The sequence below is a fragment of the Homo sapiens genome, chromosome 2 (genome assembly GCF_000001405.40).
Source record: "Homo sapiens chromosome 2, GRCh38.p14 Primary Assembly".
Taxonomy (NCBI): Eukaryota; Metazoa; Chordata; class Mammalia; order Primates; family Hominidae; genus Homo; species Homo sapiens.
The window spans coordinates 56,360,898-56,382,863 of NC_000002.12; the positions used below are offsets into that span (position 1 = coordinate 56,360,898).

The window sequence follows — 21,966 nt, forward strand, 5'->3', positions numbered from 1 at the left end:
AGTGATAGATAATTAGTGGGCTTCCACTGCTTTTCTTAGCACAAGCAAAACATCCCTTAAAAATAGGGAGTAGAGGCCAGGCGTGGTGGCTCACGCCTGTAATCCCAGCACTTTGGGAAGCCAAGGCGGGCAGATCACAAGGTCAGGAGATCGAGACCATCCTGGCTAACATGTTGAAACCCCATCTCTACTAAAAATGCAAAAACCTTAGCCGGGCGTGGTGGCGGGTGCCTGTAGTCCCAGCTACTCGGGAGGCTGAGGCAGGAGAATGGCGCGAACCCAGGAGGCGGAGCTTGCAGTGAGCGGAGATCGCGCCACTGCACTCCAGTCTGGTTGACAGAGCAAGACTCCGTCTCAAAAAGAAAAAAAAAAATAGGGAATAGAATTTCTGTAGGTCATGGAAGGCTGATGGCTAGCATTGGCCATTCATTTAATCTTTTACCCCTTGAATCTTTTTTGAGCATCTCTTATGTACAGATACTGTTTGAGAATACAGTCTTAAATAAGAGAGTTAAGGCCTCTGTCTCATGCAGCTTACATTTTAGTAGCTAGATTATTATTTTTAAAACCATAAATATGTAATACATTACCCAAAAGAGGTAATCACTATGAAGAAAATAAAAGCAGGGCATAGAATAAGAGAATGACTAGAGTACGATAATATTTAGAAAAGACCTCTCATCTGAGGAGACTTGAATAAAGGAAGTATGGAAAAGAGTATTCCTGGAAGTGGGAACAGCAAGGATATTTCAGAAAGAGGAACAATGCCAATGTGGCTGGAACAGAGTGGGTAAAATGGAGAATAAAATGAGATGAAGTTGGAGAAACAGGAAGACCCTATGTGCTCTGTTGACCAAGCTCAAGCATGTGGATTTGGATATGAGTCGATGGAATGCTATTGGAGGATTTGGGCAGGGATGTGATATCATTAATTCACATTTTTGAAGGATCAGTCTCCATGTTGGGTAAACACGAGACTGAAGAAGGTAGAGACAGGGAGAGGGGACATTGGTACACTCATTAGGGAGCTAGCTTGGTAGTCTAAGAGAGCTGAGAGTGGCTTGAACTAAGTGGTAGGGTGGAGATGGTGAGGAGGGGTTAGACTCACAGTGTGTTTTCAAGTAGAGCTAAGGGTGCTTAATGATAGATGGAATGTGGACTGTAAAGGAAAGGGACTGCATACGGCTTCATAGGTTGGGCACTGACAGCCCCAGAAGGAACTACTCACAGAGACTATGCAGTGAATGGCAGCCCAGGGATGGTACAGAGTGTCAACCCTGGGAAGAATTGAGGATGACTTCTTGGATTTTGATCTCAGCAATCATATGATTGGTGGTGCTGTTTACTGAGATAGGCAAGACTGTGAGGAACAGGTTAGGAGGTGCAGGGGAATCAAGTTCTATTTTGGACATAGTCAATTTGAGGTGTTGGACATCAACAAGGAGATGTCACATAGTGTTGGATGTGTACATGTCAAACTCAGGTGAGATATCAGAGCTGGAGACAAAAAATTGGGAAGAATGAAATATATATATATATTTTAACTATGGGACTGAATGGGAACTTCTCATCAATGAATGCTGAGGGAAAAAAAAGAAGAGCTTTGTGGACTGTATCCTGGATACCCCAAGATTTAAAGATGGAGAAGGAGAGAGGAGCCAAGTGTAGACTGCAAAGAGAGACCCAATTAGCTTTTTTTTTTCTTTTTTTCTTTTTAAGATGAAGTCTCGCTCTGTTGCCCAGTGAAGTCTCGCTCTGTCACCCAGGCTGGAGTGCAGTGGTGTGATCTCAGCTCATTGCAACCTCTGCAACCTGGGTTCAAGTGATTCTCCTTCCTCAGCCTCCTGAGTAGCTGGGATTACAGGCATGTGCCACCACACCCGGCTAATTTTTTGTATTTTTTTTTAGTGGAGACTGGGTTTTGCCATGTTGGCCAGGCTGGTCTCAAACTCCTGACCTCAGGTGATCTGTCCCCTTGACCTCCCAAAGTGCTGGGATTACAGGTGTGAGCCATTGCTCCCGGCCCCATTTAGCTTTTTTAGTCTCCCAGAGGTATGGATGATTTTGGGACTTACTTCAATGGACTGACTTTGCAAAGATGTTTTATATTTTGTTTTAACTCTCTGTGCCCTAGACTTATCCTTTTGAATATGATTCAGTTAAATGAGTGTATATATAGTTTGAATAAAAAAATCTTGTTTTCCATCGTATTTTTTTTATAAGAAGGTAGGGCACAGATAAACATATTTTTAAAATCTCTTTGTTTTCTTCCTTTCCAGTAAGAGCTGTTTGTGACAATAAGAGCTCATGCTTCCATGATGCTTCCTTTTGTGCTTTGATGATGGTCTCGCTGATGGTGGATTTCATTTTTCCCTGCCAGAGATATTACTACTACCAATTATGCAAAGGCTACACTGCCTGGATTCTGGATTCATTTTGGCTACTCTCGTTTCTGTAAACATTTAAGCATAAGATCATTGCTAACGCTCCATGATAGATCTTTCAGCAGGTGGCATGGGTAGACCTACAGCCTAACTGGTAGCTGTGTTTGTTTGTATTATTGTATGTATCCTAGATAGGTAGCTGTAAGGATACATACAAGAAGCTGACTCTTCTTGCTTCTCTATTGACCTCTCTCTTGTCTTGACTTTCCCATTTTGCATGGGAGCTTCATATACTAGAAGATTCATCAAAGAACCTAAGACCCTTCTTTTTGCCAAAGCTAGGGCAGCAAACACCACCTCACAGTGGAATATTTCTTAGTCAATTCAGCAAATATTTATTTTAAGTCACTGTTTAGTTCCTGGGGCTCTAGTTCTGTGCATGTGTTCCCCTGGGCCCTGATAGCATGCTGAGGTGTTTAACACAATTATTAATCGGCTCTGGTCTGCAAGTCAGATGCAATGTTAATTAGCATTACTTCTTTGCCATTGCATCCATACTGGCAATTCAGCTCCATGCCCTTACGCTCCGTGTCCTACTTGTGCTTTCCTTTTCTCCCTTTTAAAAAATAAGCCCAAAACCTGAAAGTATTCAGATATGTTCTCAGCAACAATGCCATAACCTTTTACTATTTAATACCAGCCTGATTGAAAAGCAATTTAGAAGTATCAGTCTTTTTCTGTAGGAATTTCAGTGTTTCTCACTGGGAGTTCTATAGTTAATAAAAGTCAAGTATTAAGCATATAGACTCATTGCCTAGAAGTAGTTGCCTATGTTTCCTAGGTATTGTTTAACAGCCTCTTTTTCTTTTTTTCAACCAGGCCTTCAATGTTATTCTTTATCTGCCGTCACTCTGGCTACAGAGACACTGGGTGTTTTCTGTCTTAGCCCTTTCAAAAGATATTAATTCTTTTCTTCCTGGGGTTTGCCCTTTGTAATTTTTGTAAAAAGGCATCCTGCTAACCTTCTGTAATTATTACTTTTATTTCGTTTTATTTTTTCTGGGAACTATATTTCTGTATCTGTAAGTTTCACCTGGAGGAACAGGTATTTCAAAATTACTTTCTTTTCCTTCCAATAACATTTTATTGTTTGCAGAGATATTTTCATCAGTGATACAGTGAGCACTGCATGAAGTTAATATCATTTTAAATTTAAATGTTTTGCAAACTCTCTTATTTCACATGTCAGGAGAAAACCTTTTGGAGGGTATTCGTGACAAAGAATGCTTGAGGGCTTTGCATTATTAATCACTTCTTTGATCTTGATTTTAAAAATCTGATGAAAGAGTTAGATCTATTACTTCCCCCGGTATTTTCTATGCTGGTTAATAGCATGACCATTTAGCGAGTACCTAACCAGAAAGTTGATAGTCATCCTGGATAACTCCTTCAACCTCACTGCCTACATTCAAATAGACATTAAAGTTCATAGGGTCTTGCCCTCTAATCCATCAATATTGTCCTTTTAATTTCTTCTGCTATTTTCCAGTGTAGGCAATAAGTAATACTTTTTTTCCCTTCAAATTCTTTGTTGATCTCCTAATTGGAACTTCATCCCAGGTAGTCTGGCCTCACCCAAATCATTCTCCACACTATTACCAGATCAATCTGTCCACCACCAATCAGTTTCTGTTACATCTGTGGCTCCACATAGAATAAATTTCAAATCCTTCTTACGGCATGGGAGATTTCCCATGCAACTCCTGCATGTCATGTTGGACTCAGCTTTTGCTACTCTGGGCCTCATATCCTGTGCTCACATCCTTCTACTACAGGAAGATAGAACTAATTTTATTTTCCTGAACATGTCAGCAGCCTAAGATTTTTGGTTCTCTGAATTGAAGCTGCTTACTACGTCCACTGTGACTCCACAGACATCAATCTCAGCCATTATTTGGCATAATAAATGAGGGGTGTGTGAATTAATATTACTTTCATTTGTTTATTAGGATAGATACACATTTTATGTAATGGTTGCAGCCACAGTTATGTGCCTGGAGTGGAGAAGGTCAAATGAGCACAGAGCTGATGTTAATCTGGTGTGTAGCAGTTCATCTGTATCAGTTATTCATATTAACATGCTTCTAATCCAGTTCCTTCGAAGGCTGCTGAGCTATTCCAACCAATCTGACCCTCCCTAGGATCATCTGGATCTCTCTGTAACCCAGGAGCCAAAGAATGAGTGCATAGACTAGAAGGAGACTTCTGGGACCCAAAGAAGGAAAAATCACTCTGGGGTATAAATTACTGAAAACATTACCAGGCCCACAGTTAGTATCTTTAAAAAAACTTTTTTTACATTTATAGATAAAATTACATCTTTACTGTGTACAACATGATGTTTTAAAGTATTAGACATCGTGGAATGACTTAATACAGCTAATTAACATATACATCAGTTCGCATAGTTATCATTTTTGGGTGAGAACACTTTACATCCACTTTCTTAGTATTTTTCAAGAATGCAATAAATTATTGACTATAGTCACCATGCTGTACAGTAGATCACTTGAAATTATTCCTCCTGTCTAACTGAAATTTTGTATCCTTTGACAGACATTTCCTTCTCCTTCCCAATCCCCTCAACTCCTGGTAACCACCTTTCTCCTCTCTAAGTAGAAATAAACTTTTTTTTTAAGATTTCATATATGAGTACGATCATGCAGTATTTATCTTTCTGTGCCTGACTTATTTCATTTAGTGTAATGTCCTCCAGGTTCATCCACGTTGTGACAAGTGACAGGATTTCCTTCGTTTTTAAGGCTGAATAGTATTCTGTTGTATATATAGATAGCACATTTTCTTTATTCATCCATTCATGGACACTTAGGTTGTTTCCATATCTTGGCTATTATGACTAATGCTGCAGTTAACATGGGAGTGCAGATATCTCTTTGACATACTGATTTTGTTTAATTTTAATGTATACCCAGTAGTGGGATTGCTGAATCATATGTAGTCCTACTTGTAATTTTTTGAAGGAACTTCATACTGTTTTCCATAATAGCTATACTTATTTGCATTCCCACCAGCAGTGTGCAAGGGTTCCCATCTCTCCATATTCTTGCCAACACATCTTTTGTCTTTTTGATAATAGTCATTTTAAAAGGCATGAGGTGATCTCATTGTGGTTTTAATTTGTATTTTTCTCTTGATTAGAACTGTTCAGCATTTTTGCATAAATCCTTTGCTATTTGTATGTCTTCTTTTTAAGAAATGTCTATTCAGGTCCTTTGCTCATTTTTCAATTGGGTTGTTTCCTTGCTATTGAGATGTTTGAGTTATTTCTATATTTTGGATATTCACCCAGCATTTTAGGAACTCACATTAGCCAGTTTTATTAATCTTTTAATGGACAGCACTTAGGGTAGTGCTAACGTGGTAGGAGCTTAGTGATTGAGAGCTGTTATGTCAAAAACAGGCCCTCAAGAAGTCCTCTGCCTGCCGAGGAGTCTGTACATAGGCTACAATCCTTCACCACATGTGACGCAGAGAGTAGTCGCCTCCTGGTCCAGATTTCTCCTTCTTATTTCTTTCATCTTTTATGATTTAATCTCTCTTTTATCTTTTTATCTATTTAATCTTTTGCCATTATCTTATAATGCTTTCATTAGCACTGAGATGTGTTTCATGTGTCAGGGCCCCCACTTCTATTTGCTGGCAATTTTATTCTTTCCTAATGTGACTGCTTCAAGTTAAGTGCAGAATCTTTGCCCAGCAAATTGTTAAGTAAGCTTTATGATCTTCCATAATTTCCACAGAGCCCCTTCTGCCAATTGTATTCTCTATGTGGGACTGGTGTCACGATTTTCTAGGTACTGTAGCATACTATATGTCTCTATCTCAAGAACTCTTTCCTTTGGACCACTGCCCTGTGCCTGCCCACAGCGTATTCTCTTTCTGCTAGTGTTGTTACAGTAGGATGATATGGGTATTTTCAATTCTGTTTCTTTTATTGGAGTAATTTCTTATTTGGGGGTGGAAATGTGGCTGCCTTTATACTTAGACCATTTGAGGGCTGAAGCTTAAGGAGTTTCCTTCTAAATCCTTTCAAGCTCCAAATCCTGTGGGCAACATGTCCTCATATGCAAAATCTGCTATAGAGCTGTCACCAGAAATTTTGCTTTGTAGTTTCCCAACATAGTTCTCTTTCTCTAAATCAGGGTTTCTCAACTTCAGCTATAGCGACATTTTGGGCTAGATAATCCTTTCTTTGTGAGGGGTCTGTCCAGTGCATTTTAAGATATTTGGCAACATCCTTGGCCTCTACCCACTAAATGCCAGTAGAAACTGCATAGTTTTGACAAGTAAAAATGTCTGCAGGCATTTTTGCCAAATGTTTTCTCTTGGGGGCCAAATCACCCCCGCCCCCAATGAGAACTGACACTCTCAATAATAAACATTCGGACATAAATTGACAAGTTATAAAATATGTTGACAAGCAAAGCAAAAACATTCATGATAAGGACAGCAAATGCTTATAGAGCACTTATGTGGGCCAGACACTGTTTTAAAAGCTCTTTCCATGTAAGTTTCCAAGCCCATAGAGTGACCGTACCATTTTACCATTATTATTTACACTGTATAGATGAGGAAACTAAGGCACAGAAAGGCCATATAGCTTGTCCAAAGTCATGCAGCTCATAAGTGTCAGATCAAGAATTTAAACTCCGGCACTGCGACCCTGGAGTCTGTGATTTGAACTCACTGTGTTTCTCTTTCAACAAAAATTCGTTGGAATAGGTATCTATATGGCATTGCATGCAATATCACGTCTGATAGTTACTAAATTAATGTTTGTTAAGTGAATAAATGAATGACTATACATCCAGGAAATTACTTATTATTTTACATCAGCATTGAATAGATTCTTTAGTTAATTTAAATGAAAAATGCACTTTTCTTTGGATATAACCGACTAAATATTAACATTAGAGTAAGGCAAGAGGGTCTTAGCATTTCTAAGCCTATGCACAAGAATCTCTTGGAGAGGGTTTGCCAAGGTGACCTTTAAAATCTCTTCTAATCAGAGCTTTTATTTATTTGCTAGGACAGTTTTACAATATGTCAGAATGAAGATTGGCCAAACTGAACAAAATATTATTTCCCTGATGAGATTAAGCAAAGTATCTGCCTTGCCCTGTAATAAGGGAAAACTGAATTTATCCTCCCCCTTAAACTAGGCATACACTCTGATGAGGTATTAAATATTATATGATAGTTTAACCAAGTTCAGGAATTATAAAAAATTAAGCATCTTTAAGTAACAGGAAACCACTTTAGCTGATCAATCTTCAGGCTTCCGTAGTTGGCCTTCTATAGTGAATGAGAGGGCTGGGGTCTCAAATTTGTTATAAGTGCATTACATCTGATTTATATCAAAGTGAGAAACTATTTTATGTAACACTACAGTATTACTCTATTGAATGTGAGTTTTAGTCAATTGGAAATATTTATATAGTACATATATATTTTTATATATACACATACATATGTACATATATGTATATGTATATATTCAATAAGAAACTCAGTATATTTGTTTTCCATTTTTCTGGCGTGCAAACAAAACTTTTTTTAGGAAGAATTTTCATTAAATTAAAAAATTTCCTTGACTTCATTACTAATTAAAACATTATAAAGGATTTTTCTAGGAGCTTTATTTTTTAGGTAATTTTCCCTACTGCAGAGATCACACATCAAATTCTGAGTGATCATCGTTTTGTGATTCATGTATTTTAGATAACATATAATATTGGACATTTCTTAGTGTTTTTCATTATTTCTATGAGGAACAGTAACACTTAATTCACGCAAATTTGAGAAAAGAAACACGACAGTGTAAAAAAGTTAAATGGTCTATTTTTTTGCAAAATTGGTTTTTATTCCCTTCATTTACATATATAGCTCATTGTGAGCAATAAGGGAAAGATAAACTATAATGTCTTAGAGAATGTTGTACGTCTTTAAATAAATAGATGAGAACTATTTATTATTAGAATGGTCGTAGTTTGAAGAGAAAATGTTGCAGATGTAGTTGTTCAAAACTTCATGTTGATTTCATGTTTAAGTACAGAGAATTTTATACCCTGTTGAAGTTTGAAGAACTAACCAGAATCTGACCCCGAAAGTCCTGAGGACTAAAGGCTATGACTCATGCTAAACCCATGCAAATGTCCATATGTGAATTCATTTGCCCATCTTTATGCCTTTCAAAGTCAGCAAGGTAAAAGTCTTCAAGTCAGGCTGACTTATTCTTCTTAGCTTAAAACATAGGTCACTTCATACTTTATTACTGAGGTTTCCAACAAATAGTTCTTGGGGACTTTTTCTGTTCATCATTCAAGAGGAACCTTTATGTGTGTCTGAAGTTCGCTGAGATGCCTGGTGAGTGAGAAGTACAGTTCGGATTTCCCATTTCCCCCTTTTTCTTCTTTTCAGTACTTGATTTTCACTCTTCTTTCCTCCTCACAAATTTTTGAAATACTTCGTTTTCTGAAAAACCCTACACTATTACCTCTATAGAAGTTTCCAGAGTTTTCAAGGAATAAAAACTATTGACTAGTACAGTTATAGCGAAACTTAAAGAGACTCAGTGATTCATACTTCTTCATATTCTTTTATGATTTCTGTGAGTACTTACCACAGAGTAAGTAATCTATAATTTACTTCTCACACAATGGGAGTGTTAGGGTCATTCAGGGATTCTTTTTCACAAACTTGGAATTTTAGAAAACTACAGAAAACAAAACTAAGTGAAACAGAATTCCTCAGAAAATAGGAAGTGACGATCTTAAGACTGTTTGGAATTGTTCTCCCAATTAGTGACCAGAATCTGAGTTCCACCATTTTGAGCCCCCAAGTTGCCAGAAACAAGTTTAACGACTGAATTACTGAAGGCTTCTTACGTTTTATGAAACTGTCTTCAGCAAACACTGTAATTGGTGATTGTAGGCCCTGCGAAACACTAAGCCTTCATTAGTGTATAAATACCATTTTGATGTAGTTTATTTGAAAGTTAATGATGATGGCTGGCCCAGAACACACTTTTCTATATACCTAGATTAAAAAAATATATATGCTGACATGGGGAGAAAATTAATTAATCCTGGTTCTAAAAGAGTGCCTTTTCCTTTAAAATGGTTATATCATCAGTTTATTCTTCCACAAAGATCTGGCCCCTGTTTATTGTTCCCCCTTATGAGATTAATAATACTATAAAATACATATTTAATATATTTTAAAGGAACATTTTATAATACTTAAAGTATAGCTATTGTTTTATGTAGTATCTACTTTCTGAAAGTTGGAAATTATTGTGAGTTCTCTACATAGTAGCTAAATGGCGCTCATGCCAGCTGGCTTCTAAGTTGGCATAGATCCTACCTTAGATTTCATGGGTATGATGATAAGCTTTGTTACAATGGAGAGGAATTGGGATTTAGCCTTGCTACACATTAAGAAAGAATGAAAGTAGAATGCCTATATGTTTTACTCAGTTGTTAAATCCAAAAAGGATAAGATCTGAGAGGTGCATGTTATGGAAATAATCAAATTCAGATACTAGATCTCCTTATTTGTAAAAATAATTATAAAATTTGCATTACTCATTAATGATCATCTCAGAAATAGAATTATGCAGATTGGGGTGGGAGGTGAGTATTAAGCTGTGAATCATGTTATAAATTTTTGGAGATAATTCTTTTGATGATGGAAACAAATTAGACACTACACATGGACTAATTATCAAAAGAGCAATGTTCAAATTAATGTTGCTATGATGAAATTATCATTATGACCCAAGTGCAAATATATAATTGCCTCTGTTATACGTGAGAAGTAGAGTATGTGTGACTTATTTTTATAGGTCACTGGTGCCAATTTAATAGGTTCAGAAAAGAGTTTTGTGAGTACCAACTACTGGTCATTATTTCTTCTCTTTCTTACTTCACTTAAGACCATGGTGCATTTTCTTTTTTCAACCTCCAAAAGTTAGAGAAGAGTGAAAATTGGACCAGTACTATTCAGATATAGGCCGCTAACTTCAAAAAAAATGAATTGATGAGAATTAAAATTTTATGTTCTTATTTTCAGTCTTCTAAAGTCAACCTCAACATTTAGACACTAGAATTTTGGGACCATTTTGCGTATTTTCCATAATTAAAATTATTAAATTATTAAAATTATTTTCTTATTCCTTGGGACATTATATTCTTAGTTATAGGTCTCTGTGAAAGTTGGCAGGAGAGGAAATCATGTTCTAATAAGTTCATTTTGTTTCTGATCATTTTAATAGGATTATACAGTTTGGTGATGGAAAAAGCTAAAATTAAGGACTTTTTTCTTTTCAATTATGTGATGCCTCTAGTTCTAATAAATACATAAAAATTTAGTTAACTTATGAATACAAAGTTTGATGATTATGTAGATTTTTCTATGTAAAATATTTATTTTAATGCAGTGATGACCTTTTAGCTCATTACATTCTCTTCAACATGCAGAAATTTTGTTAAAAATTTGATGCAGTTTTAATTTTCTCAGTATTATTGAATATGTATACCCAAATTTCACTTCTTAACAAAAGGGCATAGTGCTCCCAATTGTATTTCAAATAACTTTTGTTAAGTTCTGAAGTTATGTAGTTTATTTCTGTATAATATCCAGGTAAAGCATATTATTATTTTATGCTGGTAAAACCCATAAAATAAAGTTGTTTAAATACCTTCAAGTTTTTTCTGTAATTTTGACTTTATCGTCTACTTTTTGATAGAATTTATAATGTAGTTATATGTTTACCAGAAACTTAAATCAGGATTAGGTCTAATATGTAGGACTTCAGATTGTTTTTATTTTTATTTTTTCCCTAGCTACAGGTGCATGTTACAGCTTGCCATTGTGGTCATTGTGGTTCATCTCATTAAGCTTCATGTTCTATCTGCTTTCTTGAGACTTGGGAAACAGTATTTTTCTGAGTGATTGTACCATATTGTTCCAAATATAAGGCCAGCCAGAATAGAAGGCAACCTCCAACTAGAAACAGCTCAAATATGGAGAAAGGCTGGGGGTCCAGAGCCCGGCGGGTCTTGCAGTGGTGGCAAGGGTGCCGAGGAATAGGACGATGCCTGCCTACTCTCCCGGTGAGTGAAGATGAGTCAGCTGGATGCATTTGCTTGTGCATAACCAGATGACTTCTGTTGCTAGAGAAAAAGTTATACTGGGGGGTAGAAAACAAGTTCATACACATGAAAGAAAGTTGTATGTCTAAGTCTGGGGAGGGAGGATGGGAGTAGAATTTTTCACCTCCTAAACAGTTTTCTTGTTTTTTTCCCCCACATCTGGGGGTGAAAGTTGAGCAACCGCATGCAGGAGAGAAGAACAAAAGTACCCTGGACATTTCATGATAAAAGGAGTTTAGGTCAGTGGTCTTGAAAATCATGTCTCTAGACAAGCTCAGAAAAGTACTCCTTTGCCCTTTAAAATTGTCTACTGACTGAGAGGTGATGCATGCACTGTGTGATCATGTGTAGCTTGAAAACAAGCCACTTAATCTGGAAATCACATTTCCAGTTTTAGTAAGATTTTTCTCTTTTTAAATTCCCTGTTTGGCTCAGTAGCATATTTTTTTAAATAGTTCAGTGAAAATGTATTAGTCGACTGAGAGTATATGTAAATTGAACCCTCATAATTCTCCAAATATTGGTCTGATTCTGCTAAGCGCATAGAAAACTAACCTTTTATTTTATAGTACTAAATGAGATATAGTAGAATGAGGTGCTTCATTCTGTTATTGCAGTCTAGAAAAATTATTTAACATCTGTTGGAAGTAAACTTCACCAGGCACTTGGTTACCTTTGTGGCTTCACAAAAACAAAATAAAATATAAGCCTTGATCTTTCTGGTTGATTTGTAGTCCATGGCTCCCAAAGCTAGTTTGAAGTATAACATTCATCCCTAAATGATGAATTTCCCCCCACTGTATACTCCAGGCAAAATACTATTGTAGCCCCCATCCCATTTTTTAAAGAAAACTACTTTCATAAAAAAAAAAAAAGTGTGTTTTTTAATAGATATGGCCAGAACAGGACTTTGTTTACATTTAAACAATGGAAAATGGCTCAGATGATTTGGTTTAAGGATGTTGTTTACATTGATTTTTAGAAGTTCTCTGAAACCAAAATGCCCTGAACGATAGAGGCCCATGCCCAAGCAAAAGGATGGTATTATTGATACGCTTATCTTTTTACCAGGTCTGGAAAGAGAACATTTGAAGCAGAAAGGCTGGGCAGAAAAGGATTTGAAAGTAAAAACAGGAAGGAAGTAGCTCAGAGTGGGAAGGTTTATTGCCTTCTAAATTAGAGGAAATATGACTTCTAAGTCAGAGGAAATATGGCACTGCAATGGTGGGTCCTAAACAAGAGTTTGAAGCGAATTCTGTATAACCTGAGAAATCTTTTGAAAAGCATTCATAAGAGTGGTACCAGGAGGAAAAGAGAAGAGTAGAGGACCAGGGTTACTCAGGAAAGAGGAGCTTCCTTTTATAACTCCTTAATTTTGGAACCATTTGATTCCAAAGGATCCAAAGTATAGAGGAAGAAGATGTCCAAAATATGAGGGTGGGTGAAGGGTGTGTCCCTTAACCATCTTTTAACTTCAGATAATTTCCCTTCCATTAGATGTATTAGGCATTATTGTTTCTGATTTGATCTGGTTTATAAATACAGGAAAACAAATGTTTTAATTTCCTTTCCCACAGGGGATTGGGTCTGTTCTAATTGACAATCCTGTTTCATCACCTGCTGTACATTTTAGTTTTAGTAGCAATGGAGGACAGAAACTGAGGAAGCCACGTACATGCCATATTCTACTGCTTCCTCTCCTTGTTGGCCAGTGAGGCTGGGTGCAGGACCTGACTGGATTATAGAACTCTTTGAGCAGGGAAAAGAATGTGGCCTCAGTAGGCTAGTGAGGTGGCAGGGGGAGCCTTTGAGGACATAGGAGAAATGACAGCAAGAAAGAAAGGGAGAAAATCTTCCAAATTGCAAAAATAATAATCTGCAATAATAACATTAAGTTAATAATAATAAACTTTCCTTATAAAGCATGGTTTACATGTAATCCATACCTATAATTGCTGGGTGCAGTTTTCTCTTCTTATCTCTAAAATGTACAGCATAAAAATTCTCTTGGCTGAGCAGGATTGCTCATGCCTGTAATCCTAGCACTTTGGGAGGCTGAGGCAGGAGGATCACTTGAGGCCAGGAGTTCAAGACCAACCTGGGCAACATAGCAAGACTCTGTCTCTGTGAAAAAGATAAAATGTCACTAGGCATAATGGCACATGCCTGTAGTCCCAGATACTCAGGAGGCTGAGGTGGGAGGATTGCTTAAGCCCCGGAGTTGAAGGCTGCAGTGAACAATGATCGTGCCACTGCACTCCAGCCTGGGCGATGGAGAGAGTCTGCAAGTTAATATTCCAAACTACCGTTGTTTCTCTCTTTATGAATTCTCATGATACACCTTCAGTGACTCCTCTTCGGGGTGTTAGATTGATAGAATCAACTTGAATGGAGCAATTACTAATCAATTAGACATGAAAAATTCTGTAAATAGGTTGATAGGCAGAAATTAAAATTTCAGGTTCTCTAATAGTGTAATGATCTACATAAAAATAGATTTGGAAAATTCCCATGTGACTGCTTTTTCTAGGAGAGTAGATAACTGATACTCTCTTTTTCTTTACTGATCCATTAGTCTTCCCCCAAGCACCCTTTAGAAAAAGTACAGATCCTTAGGGGAAATTTCCAGTGCTTGTACAGAAGAATGTGGCCTGCACATGTCAAATTAATCATGTACAGGTTCTAGTTTCTCACCAATTAAGTTGAAGAACCACTAAACTAAAAATATGTAGTTTATATCTATTCTGTTTTTCATCTTTAAAAAGAGCAGAAAAGATCAATTTTCAGTTTTTAAAGAAAACGTTGAATTTGGATAAATCTTTTTTGAAAATGCTTTATTATAGGTCTTTCCCTCAAAGAAGGGTTTTATAAGAGACACAGTTTCTCCAACACAAGAATGTGATGTGTCTGCATATTCTGAGACATATGGAATATGGCATTTGGCTTGCTGAGTGAGCATGTTTAACTCAGCTATGGAGTAACTCATGAATTTCCTACTCTTAAGTATCTTTGAGTTTCAAAAATCATTCTTGAAATGTGTTTAAGGGCCATTCCTTGGGGGTGGGGCATTTCAGAGATGGCATCTGACAATGTATTGAAGTGGCTCTTCTTTATGTTTTCTTGCTGGTCAAGCAGCAAGTGTGTTCCAATGAACAGATTGATAGCATTGTAGACTAGGTTAGGAAAAAGTAACAAAATGGCTAATTCTCATTTGGTAGTGAAATTGAATATTGAATGACATCTTTGTAGTTATAAACGACTTTTGTTTTAATAACAAAGTTGTTGATTTTCTACTAAGGGTTCTTTTAGGTTGTCATCAGGGGCTGATGGGAGTAACAGTTCACCCAACTCTGCAGCTAGCTTCAGTGGACATGCCACACCTTCCCAGCAGCCTGAACCTGTGGTACATTCTCTTAAGGTAACCAATCGTGTGCAACCATTTATCCAGAGCTTCAGTTGTGTCGTCGCTTGTTCGCTGTAGTCTAGTAGTCCTCACAGTCTTGCTTGAACCATAGATATTTTATTTTTTGACTCCTTATGGTGTAACTTTTTAAATCTTAATTTTTGAAGTATGATTTTTATTGTTCTAAACTGACAATGAGTTTGAGTACTTATGGTTGAATCTCTAGTTTTATCGTTTTGTTTTGAGAATGTGATTCATATCTATCGGCATCGAAGTTACAGTCTGTGCATGTATATCCATATTTGTAAAAAATTGTGATAGGTATTTTATGTGCAATGTTTGTAGCGTGGATGTCTTCAAATATAGGAAGTTAATAGTTGGTCATAATATGGAAGGATACCACAGTATTCTTTCTTGATGCAATTGAAGTACATTATGCAACTTAAATAAAATATTGAAATAAATAAAAACCTACTCTTTCCTCTTCTAAGTAGAAATTGGGTTCTCAAACTCCAGTTAATGCCCCGTTATAGAATAATAGAAAACAGATATATGGTGTTATACATAAAGCTACTTTACTTTTGTGTCTTCCTTCACATTTTGCAGTGATTTCACAAAAAATTGCCTAAAATTTGTCATCTATTTTCTTTACCAATAATGAGCTTTCCAATAAGTAAAACTAATGAAAAATCAGGACTATAGGTACAATTAATAATAAATAAACAATATAAATATTTACTTATCTCAAAGAAGAAACTAACACAGGTGATAAAAATCATCTTACAAATTGAGATGGTTTCTTGAAATTTTATCAGTTTCAATGTATGAAGCACTGTCTAACAAATCTATCTATAATTTCTAACATGTAGCTTTGATCAAACCTTTCTGACCCATAAAACAGGTAGAGTGCTTCCGATCTGCTTTTACCATGTGAGTTTCACAACTCTTCTTAAAATTGTTTCAATTTCAAAATGATTTATCATCAGCCTGGAGATGCACTCCTCTTTTGGAGTGGGCCACACTTTCTGTGGCATGCACAAAACAAATACATAGATGAGAACTTCAAAATGTTTATTTCACTTTGAGATGATGAAGTTTTAGCAGAAGATTTTGCTCCCTCAGGATATTTTGCTTTAGCTTATACAAAATGAATTTGCTTTTCCTAAACATATACTGATTATTGATGAGGGAAGGCAGGGCAACCATGCTAGTGGCCACTGACAGTGCACTTGGCATTTTCTGTCTTTGTTGGAATAATTCACAAAGTGAGCAACTGAGAGGAATTCCTGGGAAGGCACAGCCAGTGTGAGGGGGCACTGCTTTGCCTCTAGTGGGTGTTGGTTTATGGACTGTTGAATATCTTGTTCTCTGTGGCAGCACTTGGATGAACTTTAGCATGAATCAGGCACTAGCTATCTGAAAAGCATTTTAAAAGTAGAAAATGGACCAGAGATTGGCTTCAATCTTGTAGTATTATAGCATCTGCACACACTCCAACAGCAGCAACTTGTCCTCCTATTCAAACTGTTTGAAAGCCATTTCAGCCTGTTGCCTTATTAAATGGCAATTGCTATTTGAATCAGATCAGCATAGTGAGTCACACTGAAATATTTTCCAGATTTCTCAAAGCAGCTGTTAGTGTGGCCTAAAAGGAAGGGGAGGGCAAGGAAGAGCTCCTCAATTTTCTCTGAATTTAGTTCTAATTTTCATACAAAATTTTATCTCTGGGAGGCCAAGGTAGGCGGATCATGAGGTCAGGAGTTTGAGACCAGCCTGGCCAACATAGTGAAACCCTGTCTCTACTAAAAATACAAAAATTCAGCAGGGTGTGGTGGCAGGCACCTGTAATCCCAGCTACTTGGGAGGCTGAGGCAGGAGAATTGCTTGAATCCGGGAGGCAGAGGTTGCAGTGAGCCGAGATCGTGCCATTGCACTCCAGCCTGGGTGACAGTGTGAAACTCCGTCTCAAAAAAAAAAAAAAAAGATATATATGTTTCAAGAGAGGGAGATTTTATGTTATATTCAGTACACATAAGTGTCCTTGGTTGGCAGATGAGTGATACTGAGCAAGTGAAACATCTTTATTAGAAAACTGGGGACCCTTGAATATCAAATGTTTTTACTTCCATGAGTTAACTGTGTTAGGACACAGAAATATGTACAAACATCAGTTTTGGGAAATACATCTTAAAAAGATTTCATTATAAGAAAAAGAAATTATGGCCACTTGACATGTTTTGTTTTTGAGAGCCAGCTGTCTAGAGCTGATTTATATCATGAGATATGTCTATTGTGAAAAGAATAATTAGTACAGTGGCTCAGTTTCTCACTTTCTGATAGATTTTATAGAAAACGCTAGGCTTTATAAAATCTGTGGTCATGGTTTGTGGGAAATGTAAAGCACTGTAAGAAATTAGTACATTTGTGATGACACTATATTCTTCTTGTTTTAAAATTTATGATAACTATTAATTGGAGCTTTACTTCATTTAGTAAAAATTAACTGATTTGAAGTACACTTCTCTGAGGTGCATTACAAATCAAATTTGTAGGTAAATGAGCTTGCTCAAGGAAGGAGCTCTTTATGTTTTCTATGAATATTCACCAAGCACAGTCAGTGATTTTCTCTAAATATGTAAAGAAGGTAAATTAACTGTAATCTGAGGTGAGTATCAGGGCTCAGAAGTGGCATTTTTATAATAATAATGGCTAGACGTTTCAAATTAATGAGTGTAGTTTGTGATCAGATTATTTATTACAGGATCGAACTCTAGTTAGATTCAGATAGTGTCCATGAACTTGACCTGAAGGTCCCACTTCATGCTTAAGTCATTTAGTTTGGCTCAATTGGTGTAAATTCACAGGTAGCAGATGTGAACATCAGCATTGTCCGTGATGACAGTAGAATCAAGTAGCTTAGCAGTGTTGCAGTTGGTGTGGATTCTATAGGAACTTCTAGGGAGAGCATTAGTTTTTTGTATTACTTCAACACTTTGATTTATAAACTGATATAGATAAAAACAACAAACAGCACAGAAAGCCAAAGTTATTTTCTCCTTTTGTAGTATAAAAAGGTACCCACAATAAAACTTTAGACATTTTTAAAGGAATATTATTTTCAACGTGTTTAGGGCTAATTTAGAGAAGTGGAAACATAGGCCTCTAAAATTGTTTAAAAGGCATTTTATTCCAAGACATTTTGCTTTCATGAAAAATATTTAAAGTGTTGTTCAAATATTTTCACTATAAGGAGCCAGTGCTTCTCTTTGATACTATCAAAGAGCCACCTCCACATGCCTTTTCTTAGGCACTGGGAACATGTCCAGGCAAGAACTGCGAGGTCAGTAGTTCTTACGTGCATATTCCTGGGTTTTGACCAGTTTCACCTGTCACTATCATCTTTTTTAGTCATCTTTTATGCAGGCCATGTCTACATATCATTTGGACCATTTGGCACATAGTTAATTATATTGGTCATCATTACAGTGGAGCAAGAGTTATTGACTATATCCAAATTGTTGATACAGTGAGATTATCTTAATGACCAAAGTAAATGCATATACTTATTTTAGACACTAATGAATTCCATTGATTATTAGTGATGCAATGGATTGCTTTTAATGGCCATTTGAAAATCAAATAGAATCATTCCAAATAGATTTCAGAACAATCAGCTATTTAAAAAATATGTTTCCATATGCTAATCCACTCTGATATGCAGACATGGAGAAAACTAAAGGTTTTACAAAGTGGAGCTCCTTGATGGTTTTATCATAACTAACAAGCTTTTTTCCATGTGAAATTTGCTTTTCTTTTTCAACAAATCCAGGTCTTGGATGTTCAGGAAACTATAGATCGTCAACAGGGTAAAGAGTATGAACATGACCTTAGTGAGACAGAAAAAGCTATAGTCAGAGAAATGTGCAATGTAAGTTTAATGTGCTTTATTGTGTATTCTGTGTTGAAAGCCACATCGTAGCTTAGCTATTGTTTTATGAATATTTTTAAAATGCTGACCAAATGCCTTTATGTTTTTATATGAAAATAAAACCAATTTCCCTTGTTTTTATTTTCAGTATATTTTATTGTAGTTTTATTAATACAATCATGTTACAGAATATTCAATTTAGAGATGATCAGCCAATTCTGTATTCCAGAAGACTCTACAAACATTTGCTAATACTGAATTTACTGTCTAAAATATGTTTCTAATTTCGATAAAATAAATGGGTTTCTATTTTATACTTCTAAGAAGTTTGTTAAAGATCAGTGTTTAAAAACCTATGATAAAGAAAATACAGCCACCTTTAGATTTACTTGTAACTATTCTTGGAAAAAATCGCCACCTTACTAGGTAATTTTGCTTAGTTCTTCATATGTCATATATGTGTGCTTCATGTCATGCGAAGTATTATCTTTAGCTTTCAGTTGTTGACCCAAACTCAGAATATAGTAAGGTAAGAAAGACAGATAAGAACCTAAAAGATAGTTAGGCCAGGCACAGTAGCACACACCTATAGTCCCAGCACTTTGGGAGGCTGAAGAGGGAAAATTGCTTTAGCCCAGGAGTTTGAGGCTGCAGTGAGCTATGATCATACCACTCCACTCCAGCCTGGGCAACAGAATGAGACCCTGTCTCAAAAAAAAAAACAACAACAACAGGATAGACAAATAGAAATCTATTCATGAAGTCAGAGACCACAGTAAAAAAATAAATAAATAAATAAATAAAGATATGTTATTTTCACGTGCATATTCAACGCAATCATTAATATGGCTTGGATTTTTACTATTAATCCCTGACTAAATTTTAATATTTTGAGTAATATACATGGGATGTATCATTTAGTCAATAATATAAATTGTGAGGCTTTAAATAGCTAAATGGAATATTATAGAGGAAGCCATTGTTAAATGCAAGAAATCATGGTTAAGCACTGGTCATGTTAAACACTGATTTTAATTGGCTTTACATTATGCTTTATCCTCATATTCTTTTCTCTATCCTATCAGGATGTGAAAATTGCTTAGAAATACCCTTTAGCTTTAGATCTATTAGGACCAGATATTCTCAGACACTTACGCATCAACCTCCTCGAGGTGTTTCTGGAATCCAGTAAATGTTACATAAGTCCCCTGGGCATTTTTTATGTGCTGGAATGAGACTTGTAGTCTCTTGCTTGCCTGTGTTGTGGCTGATTTTTCTCTTCCCACCCTTCCTAAGTTATTTGTTTTTCTTTCCTGCATATCTGTTGTCTGTTTTCAAAAGGACATCTAGTTCTAGATGTCATCTTTCCTAAATGCACCACCATTCACTTTCTGTAGCTTTTCAACCTGTGCTTAAGATTTTCAATTTGAATATTTCCCTCAGATAAATTTTAAAAAGTGAGCCACATACCTAGGAATGCCTGTTGCTTCTCATCTATTGACTATGGAATGAGAGAGAAAGTTCAGACAATAGGAACTGTTGGACTAGAAGGAGCCATAGAGGTCATTCTCCAGTGTTTGTCCAAAGAATAGTATGTGGACCTCCTTCATAATTCGGATCTCTGAGTTTACCATCAGACCTCAGGCAATTCAGATATGAACCCCTGGGTAAGAACCCGAACACTCTAATTCTATATTTGAAGAAATTAAGACCCAGAAATTAAGTTACTTGCTCGAACTATTTTCTAATGAATAGTGAAGTCAGGAGTACACCAAGATTTCCTTTGAGGACCTTTCCTGAGGAACAAAAAGTGAAAAGCACCCTATCTTACAGAGGGGGCCATCTCCATGGTTCTTAATGCCAGAATTTCTGTAAAAAATTCCAGGATTGTTTCTTTCCCTTTTCCTTTGCTTTCCTTCCTTTCAATTTCTGGACATTAGAAAATTCATATCTTAGTCTCAATAGAGACCCATTACTGGATTGGATTTTGATTAGTTTTATGTTGATCTTTTTGTTTGCCTGCACTTTCAAAAATAAATTGAAAGGCACCATACAGTATTATTTTTATTTTTTAGTGTATAAGATACTTTCAGAAAGCCAAAAGCTTGCCCCCCTTGTTTACCTTTAAAAGTTCTCTAGGAGTATGTTTTCTGTCTCCTTTTGTCTTTGATCCCCAGAATTTGAGGAAAAAATGCAAACAAACCCAAATCTGATTCTTAAGCAATTTTATATATTTGGAAACAATTTAAAAATGTTATTGTCACCATTATTAATTATATGATCAAAAACACATAGTCAATGCCACAGAATAGGGAAAAATGCAGATTGTAAAGCAATTTCATAGATAAGTTGTGAAACTAGCAAAGATTATGAAGGCTTGGCTTCTAGTAGAGAAATTATATGCCTTTATAATAATGTCACAGAAAAATAAAGTTTTCCCATAATATGAGATGGGTTATAAGACTCAGATAGAACTTGGGACCACAGAAGTTTTGCTGTCATTTCTAGTATTGCTCCTAGAGATTAGATGTTGTTGACATCTACACAGCGAAAAGGTTATTATTCATATTACCATCATGTGGGTTAGTATGTAGTTAGCTATTCTCTTCCCAAACAGTGCTACAGAAATAAATGTACTGCCCCCTAAGAAATAGTAAATCTGCCTTTTTGTAGTAGTTGTTTTATTTTAGGTTTGTCTGTTTGGCTCTTGTAAATTCCCTGAGGACAGTTGAAATACCTGATTGGTCATCTCAGTCACAGTCTCAAACACACACCTGTTATGCCTTTTTAGTTAATAAGTCACTACTCCTGTGTCAACCTTTGTATTGTTGGTTTATTGCAAAGTTCTGCCTTCTTTAAGAGTTTCCTTTCACCACATAGTTACATCTGGGTTAAGCTCATTGTGTTCCACATTTCAATATTTGAAGAGGAGTTGCACTTTTGAGTTGTAACCAGCTAGTGCTGGTGTCTGTTATCCGTGTAAGGTCCTTAAGTCTACCCTCTGCTTCTAAACCA

At 36.3% G+C, this 21,966-nt stretch overlaps 1 protein-coding gene across 7 annotated transcripts in view; it reads left to right on the plus strand.

Annotated features, from left to right (window-relative positions):
* CCDC85A (coiled-coil domain containing 85A) overlaps positions 1-21,966 on the plus strand; it is a 202,323-nt gene that overhangs the window by 177,046 nt on the left and 3,311 nt on the right. For 2 of the 7 annotated variants that reach the window (XM_024452642.2, NM_001348512.1), the window contains exons 4-6: positions 11,447-11,581; positions 14,919-15,038; positions 18,853-18,951. The exons of 2 other annotated variants lie outside the window; for them this stretch is intronic. In XM_024452642.2, the coding sequence (XP_024308410.1) occupies positions 11,447-11,581; positions 14,919-15,038; positions 18,853-18,951 (354 nt within the window). The remainder of the gene's footprint in view (positions 1-11,446; positions 11,582-14,918; positions 15,039-18,852; positions 18,952-21,966) is intronic. 3 more of the 7 variants (NM_001080433.2, NM_001348513.1, NM_001348514.1) reach the window with 3 other exon arrangements.